The sequence below is a fragment of the Homo sapiens genome, chromosome 12 (assembly GCF_000001405.40).
Source record: "Homo sapiens chromosome 12, GRCh38.p14 Primary Assembly".
In the NCBI taxonomy this organism is placed as follows: domain Eukaryota; kingdom Metazoa; phylum Chordata; class Mammalia; order Primates; family Hominidae; genus Homo; species Homo sapiens.
Genome location: NC_000012.12, coordinates 131,136,030 through 131,142,854, shown reverse-complemented (window position 1 = coordinate 131,142,854; position 6,825 = coordinate 131,136,030). Strand labels below are relative to the sequence as shown.

At 55.4% G+C, this 6,825-nt stretch overlaps 1 protein-coding gene across 11 annotated transcripts in view; it reads right to left on the bottom strand.

Annotated features, from left to right (window-relative positions):
- Nucleotides 1-1,385: 1,385 nt before the first annotated feature.
- The window catches only part of ADGRD1 (adhesion G protein-coupled receptor D1), a 187,563-nt gene continuing 182,123 nt past the window's right edge, over nt 1,386-6,825 (bottom strand). For 10 of the 11 annotated variants that reach the window (NM_001330497.2, XM_011538206.2, XM_011538209.2 and 7 more), the window contains 4 exons: nt 6,692-6,818; nt 5,841-5,882; nt 4,626-4,718; nt 1,386-3,687 (listed from right to left, as the gene is read on the bottom strand). In NM_001330497.2, coding sequence (NP_001317426.1) covers nt 3,592-3,687; nt 4,626-4,718; nt 5,841-5,882; nt 6,692-6,818 — 358 coding nt within the window. In that variant the 3' untranslated portion in view covers nt 1,386-3,591. The remainder of the gene's footprint in view (nt 3,688-4,625; nt 4,719-5,840; nt 5,883-6,691; nt 6,819-6,825) is intronic. The other variant, XM_011538204.2, reaches the window with a different exon arrangement.

The window sequence follows — 6,825 nt, the reverse complement described above, 5'->3', positions numbered from 1 at the left end:
ATATTCAGAATTGTAGCCACCTTCCTAAGAAAATGTAAAGACATATGAAACACTGTTCAAACTCAGTAGTAATCAAGAAAATACAAATGATAAATTTCACACATACTAAGCTGGTGATGAGAACACTGCTCACCTTTCCTGTAAAAGTTTTGAGAAATGAGAGTATCAATAAGTTCTCACTGAGAATATTAATAAGTTATCACCAGCAGTGAAAACTGACCCGATAACTCTTTACCAAATTCTTTTGGTAAAGAATTTGGCAGAATGTTTCAAGAGTCATGGAATTCTTTACTTTTTGACGCATACCCATTTTTTTTCAGATTTTTAACCTAAAAAATAATCAAAATAAAAAATAAGGAAAAAAGTCATAAGCACAAAGACATTATATCTATTCCTCTATTATATATTATGGATATAAAAAATATTGAAATGTTACATAAATAAAAATATATATACGATAAATATGTAAATGTTAATGTATGACACAGAAGCATAGAAACAATCCAGTTATAAAACAGTGCAAGATTTTTGGTAAAATATAATATGTAACGGAACACTTTATATTACAATCATAATTATGAACAATAGAGTAATATGGAAAGTGGTTTATGAGTGCACATTAAGTTTAAAAGCAGACGGTGGGCCTGGTGCAGTGGCTCACACCTGTAATCCCAGCACTTTGGGAGGCCGAGGCAGGCAGATTACCTGGGGTCAGGAGTTCAAGACCAGCCACGCCAACATGGTGAAACCCCATCTCTACTAAAAATACAAAAATTAGCCGGTTATGGTGGTGTGTGCCTGTAGTCCCAGTTACTTGGGATGTTGAGGCAGGGGAATGGCTTGATCCTGGGAGGCGGAGGTTTCAGTGAACCAAGATGGCACCACTGCACTCCAGGCTGGGCGACAGAGAGACTCTGCCTCAAAAAAAAAAAAATAAATAAAAGCAGACGGCTGCACAGCAGAGACAATGTAGGACCATGTAAATTACATCCCTGTAAATTCTGTAAAGAGTGGAAAAGCAGCATGGGTAAGGAATGAATGAGTATATCTGGGGGTGTGGCATGTGGCTGAACTCCGCCTCCTTTGAAGCAGCAGCCGTGTATTTTGCAGTAAATTACCCTGGGCAGACAAAGGCCTGTGCACGTCCCTCCAGGCCTCCTTCCCACGCTTCCTCCCCAGGCATGCTGCTTGCCCCCGGTTTGTGTTCATACCCCATCCCTGGGACACAGGCTCCCGGGGCATCCCCAGAGCAAGAATGTGTGGGGCTCACAGCAGGTGCTGAGTGAATGTCTACTGAGTAGATCCCAGCCTGGGATTTCACTGATGCGTTAAGAGACTCACGGTCCTGTTCACATTCCACCAGCAACAGATTTTAAGGAGCACACTTTCTTTTCAGGACATGAGTTTATTTCATAAAAATCACAACATATTTTCACAACTTAGTGTCATCATCTTTCTTCTACTATAAACTAAACATTTCATTCTTTCCAATTTCTTATTTTTGGCCAAATTATGTATAGATAATAAAAGTACTGCAGAAGCCAAAACATAGAGCCTATAAATAAAGTGCATGACTTTCATTCATTGGAAACAAAAGGTTTAGACAGGTTTTGTTCATTACTTATCTTGAAATATTAGCTATATAGATGAATACGGCAACAATTAAAAACAAATAATTCCATCTAAACTAAAGATAGTTCCTTACTTGATTTGTTTCACTAGAAACTAAATAAGGAGAAATATCCAAGTGTACATTGTAGGAATACAGTGTTCTCACTTCTAGGTGCTCACCGGCGTGATGAGGATCTGGCACTGTGGTCCATGTGACCTGGTTTCTGGGGTCACGGGAGCCTGGGGCAGTGGCTAAACATGGGACTTTAGTCCATACTAAACATGGGACTCTTCACTGAACAGCGGCCTTGGCCTGCAGCAGCCAGGTGTGCCCGCCAGAGCACGGTTGCAGGGGCCATACGCAGGGCCCGTGGCACTGTCACCATGTGGCAGGTGGCTGGTGCAGCCTGGGCCTCGCCTGACAGAAGAGCAAAGGTTCACCCCTGCAGACATGCTGCTCCCTGCCTACCCTCCCCATGCAGGAGAGGCCTGCAGATGAGTGGTCCACTCCAGGCGACCAGGGGAAGAGTTACATTAAGAAGCCACCAGGTGGGCTGCAAAAGGGCCACAGGCTCCATAGAAAACTCACTCTGAAACAAGGCAGACATAGGGGTGTGGAGGGGCTGAATGAAATCATGGTCACAGTTTTAAAGGAAGAGTTTCCAGTATCAAAACCAGGTTTGAATGTCTTACCCACATTTCACAGACACCACGAGTGCTATCAGCACAGTATGAACCTCACAGCCCGTATCTCGGTGGTGTCTTAATTCACATCTATGATCCCAAACCTGTGTTCCACAGGATCATGCCCACACATGGGTCCATAACAATTATCCCATCTCCTCTGGGGCTGAATCTGAGTCCATAAATTTCCCTCAACACAGAAGACACGGCTGTCACCAGCCCTCCCTCTCCAGGTCAGTGGGGACTCAGCGCAGGTCGGTCTCATGGTGACCAGACGGAGCGCACTGTGCTACCTGCCGCGTGGTCTGCCCATTAGAAACTTCGTAGAGTGCCTGTGAGCCATGAGGAAGCCTCTGGGGAAAGCAGTGCCCTGGAAAATGCCCTCCACTTTCCACCTGGACACCAGGCACTGCGGGGACACGGCCAGCTCCTGTGGCCCAAGAACAACCAAGGAGGCTGGCACACGAGGGAGGAGGGCATCTTAAGGCCGAATTGGGGTCCAAAGAGGCAAAACTCACAGCGGATGGCCGAGAAGCTCCCCCAAGCACAGGCACCATCAGGCAGCCTCAAGGCCCAGAGCGGCTCTTCACGTGAGCAGAGGGGACCCCCCCAAGGACAGGGCAGAGGGGTCGCCCTCACCTGGAGAGTCAACGACTCCCGCCCACGGCTCGAGCTCGGCTTGGGCAGGGGCCCCCAACTGATGACACAGCACAGGTTGGCCCACGCCGGCACCACCTACAGAGACACACACCACGGCTAGCGCCGGCTGTGGGGAACTCACCACTCAGTGGATTCAGACACTGGGGACTCCGCATGCTCTTCCCCACACACCCCCAGCTGCCTGCGCCTGACTGAGGGTGCGTGGGGACCTGAACCACCTCTTTGGCCCTGAGTCCCCAAGCCCCACCAAGGCACAGAGGCTGAACATCCCCTCCTGGTGCTGCGGGACCGGCCCCGAGTGTCCTGGCCTCGCTGGGTCTGATGCTGAGTGATGAAGGGAGGCTCAAGGGCACCATCACAGTCAGGCCACTGTGTCCTGGGAATCCCCCGAGGAAGTCACTCAGCCCACGGGTGGATGCAAGGCAGGAGGGCCCACGCTGGCCTGGGCATCAGGCTGCTGGGCTGAGCAGTGTGCTCCGACAGCCAGAGTCACAGGGGAGGACAGCTGTCTCGGGGCCACAACACCCATGTCCAGACAGCAGCAAGGAGAGGGTCCATGGGCAAAGGTGGGGCATTTCATTCTGTTTGGGGGGGTGTGTTCTGAGCGCAGCCTGGCCTGGTTGGCAGCCTCCCGGCTCACACGGCTGACAGGTCGACGCGGTGGGCAGAGTGGCTGCTCTTGTCCCAAGGGCTGAGCTTGGTGGAGGCCATGCCTGGCCGGGTCCCATTCATCTGCAAAGCATAAAGGGATGAGCAGTGAAGGGCCTGCTCCCAGGGGGAGAGCCATAAGCCCAGTGAGTGCGGGGAGCATTGGGCCCATAGCTGCCCGAGGATTCTCCCTGCGGGAGGAAAGGTGCAGAGAGAAGGGAGCCCCCATGCTCCTGGGGGAGATGAGGATGTGCGCACTGTGGCGTCTCCAGCCGCACGGTTCTCCACGCTGACTCCCCTTAAGGGCACTGCAGGCGTGCTGTGCTGAGCGCTCACTCCCTCCTCTGCTCACCCATCTGCCCGGCACCCACGCTTTCACCCCCATGCATCTGTCCACGCTGCGTTCATTCCACGGTGACTCATGGAGCGTGCCACACACCCGGCGCAGCTGTAGCCGTGGGGCTAGAGCAGCCCATGAGCCAGCCAGCTCCCATGGAGCAGGGCAGACGTGGTCCCTAAGCAAATGGAAAATCACACAGCTGCGGGCGGGGGCGGAGTGCGAGAATGGGTGGGAGCGCCTTCATTGAGCACCGTGTGCGGGGAAGGACTTCCTGAGGATGGGACACCTGAGCAGGGCTCCAGCAGGGGGGAAGCAGCGGCACAGTGAGAACCCTAACAGGGCCTGCTCCAGACTGCCTGGGGGCCTGCCTGGGCTCTGGAGGGCGGCGGGGATGGGCCACCTCACGGTCAGTTGATCTCTAAGTCCTTCCATCCCTAAGTGAACACAAGAAGCCCTGACTCTTCGGGGTCAAGGGGTAGGGCTGTGGTGACTTCATCAGGACACAGGGCACTGTGTGGGGGACACAAGCCCAGAGCACGTGCAGCCTGCAGGCATGAGAGGGGGACAAAGACTGCTGGGCACCCGAAGCCACCTCTGCTGCCTGCACACCCCATCCTGCTGACAACCGAGCCTGGGGAAGGAGGATGGGCTGGGACCCTCGGTTTATGGAGGCTGCACTCACGAGGTCCGAGTGGAAGGGCTTCGCGTTGGAGGTGCGGGCAGAGCTGCTCGTGAGCGACCAGACCTTGGTTTTGTGCTTGAAGGCGGCTCTCACCTTGAAAGCGGGGAAGGGATCGTGAGAGCAATTTCAGAGGCTGCAACAGCCGTAACCAGAGGAGTCTGTGCCGGTGCAACTCCGGAACCAGATGTGCGAGGGAGGTTGGGATTTGGAAATATGAGTCGGAGCTGCTGGCTCCACAGCTGAGCTGTGCATCGCTGCTCTGTGGGGCAGAGCCAGGTTGTATCGCAGGCCAGGGAAGCTGGGTGTGGAGTGGCCTCTGCTGGGCTCCTCACACTCAGCAATGAATGTCCCGGGGTGAGTGTGAGAGAGAAGCAAATAAACAAATGCGTGGTGGGCAGGCAGGCGGGTGGGCGGGCGGGCTTCCATGGCTGCACTGCCTTCCTGCCACCGGGATCCACCTCAGGCCTTGCAAGGGGTCACTGGGCGTTGCGATCAAGGGGTCACTGGGCTTTGTGATCATGCAGCCCTTCTGCCCGGCCACCATCCTGCTCAGCGACTCTGCTCTGCCCTCCTTGGCCCACCTGGCCTGTCCTTGCAAACGGACACCGCCACTGAGATGGACCGGGCAGGACGGCCCCTCTGCCCTGGGCCCATTCCCCATCCCAAGGCAGCTCCCACAACCTCAGCCTGGTAGGGGCTCAAAGCTGACTTGGGAAAAGTTCTCCCACAGGAACAGAAGTCCTTGGGGCAGCCCCTACCTCCCCCCAGCCAAGTACATGGCAGGTGCCAGGCCCAGAGCAGCACCGAAAGAATAAGCCTGCGCTGGCTGCCCCAGAGTCCAAGGAGGCCACATCACAAAACTCCTCTTCCCAGCTCCCGTGGACAGAAGTCCTCCTTCTCACAGCCAGGCCAGCTTCCCCAAGGCCCTCGAGGAGGACTGTGGGGAGCACGCCTACATCTCACTCTCCCTAAGATGCAGTCGCCAATTCTCCAGGGAGAGAGGATGCTTGCATATCGCTTAGCAACTAGGCGGGGAGAGAAGAGCTGCTCAGCAGCAGGCCCCAGGGCACACAACTTGGCATCAGGAACGTGGCTGGCTCAGGATTTGAGTCCCAGACACCACCCTGACAGGGCAGCGCTGTTCCTGCTCCTGTGACCTTTCGGAAAGGAAAAGCCAGCTGCACCTGCACCTGCCAGCAAGCAGAGCGGACGTACCTCTGAATTCAGGAGACAATGAAAGAGGAATATGAACAGTCCCTGGGAAGAAAGGGAAGAAACGCAGAGATTAGAGCCCTTTGCACGTAGTTAGGAACACTGGAGGTTCCTCCCATGCAGCCTGGGAGTGGCACTGGCACCGCACACTGTGACACCAGGTCCCATGACCTGGGGCCCGTGAGGACGGAGAGGCGTCCTGGGTCCCACCATGATCCAACCTAGAATCAGGCAGCTGCTCGGACCGAGTTCAGAGAGGGGGTGCTGCGTGGGCATAGGTGCGGCAGCAGGTGGGTTCCCAGGCAGGCTCAGCGTGGGCAAGGGCAGGCACTTCCGGAAGACGTGCCACTGGCCTGCAGACACAGACGCAACTTGAGTAGCCCAGGGAGGGCTGGGAGGGCCATGGATGGCGATGGGGACCCATGCCTGCCCTTCCTTGGGGGCCTGTGGGTCTGAGGGCCCTGACCCTGCGCATCCCAAGTCTTTGGTTCCCAGATGACCCTCCCTGGCCCTTCACACAGAGGGCAGCACCTGGGGGACCGCCCTGGCCACCTCTCTGCCTTTCTTTCCAGAGCTGCCACAGGCAGACTGTCTTACTGTCCTCCATTCCCAGCCAGGACATGCCAACTACAGATGCTGGCCAGAAGCATAGGCAGCCCCGCCCTGAAGGGGTCAGGATCCTGCAGGCCCCACTTTCTGAGAGTCCTCAGGCTTCGGGGATGCCCCGCATTACAGGCTCCTAAGGTGTGGCCGGGAGGGCAGGCCTCCCTCCTGCCCCTGCAGCCCTAGCTCCCTGCAAGCCTGCTCCTGATGGCTGGCGGCCCTGCCTCCCCGCCAGTCCCCGCGGCTCTCACCTGCAGGGAGTTGAGCGTGGCAAACATGTACTGGAAAACCACAGCACAACCGTTGACAGCAAGCACGCCAAAGACCCACGAGGTACCCAGGATGGGCAGCAGCACGGCCACTGCCTTGGCTGTCAACCTGGAGA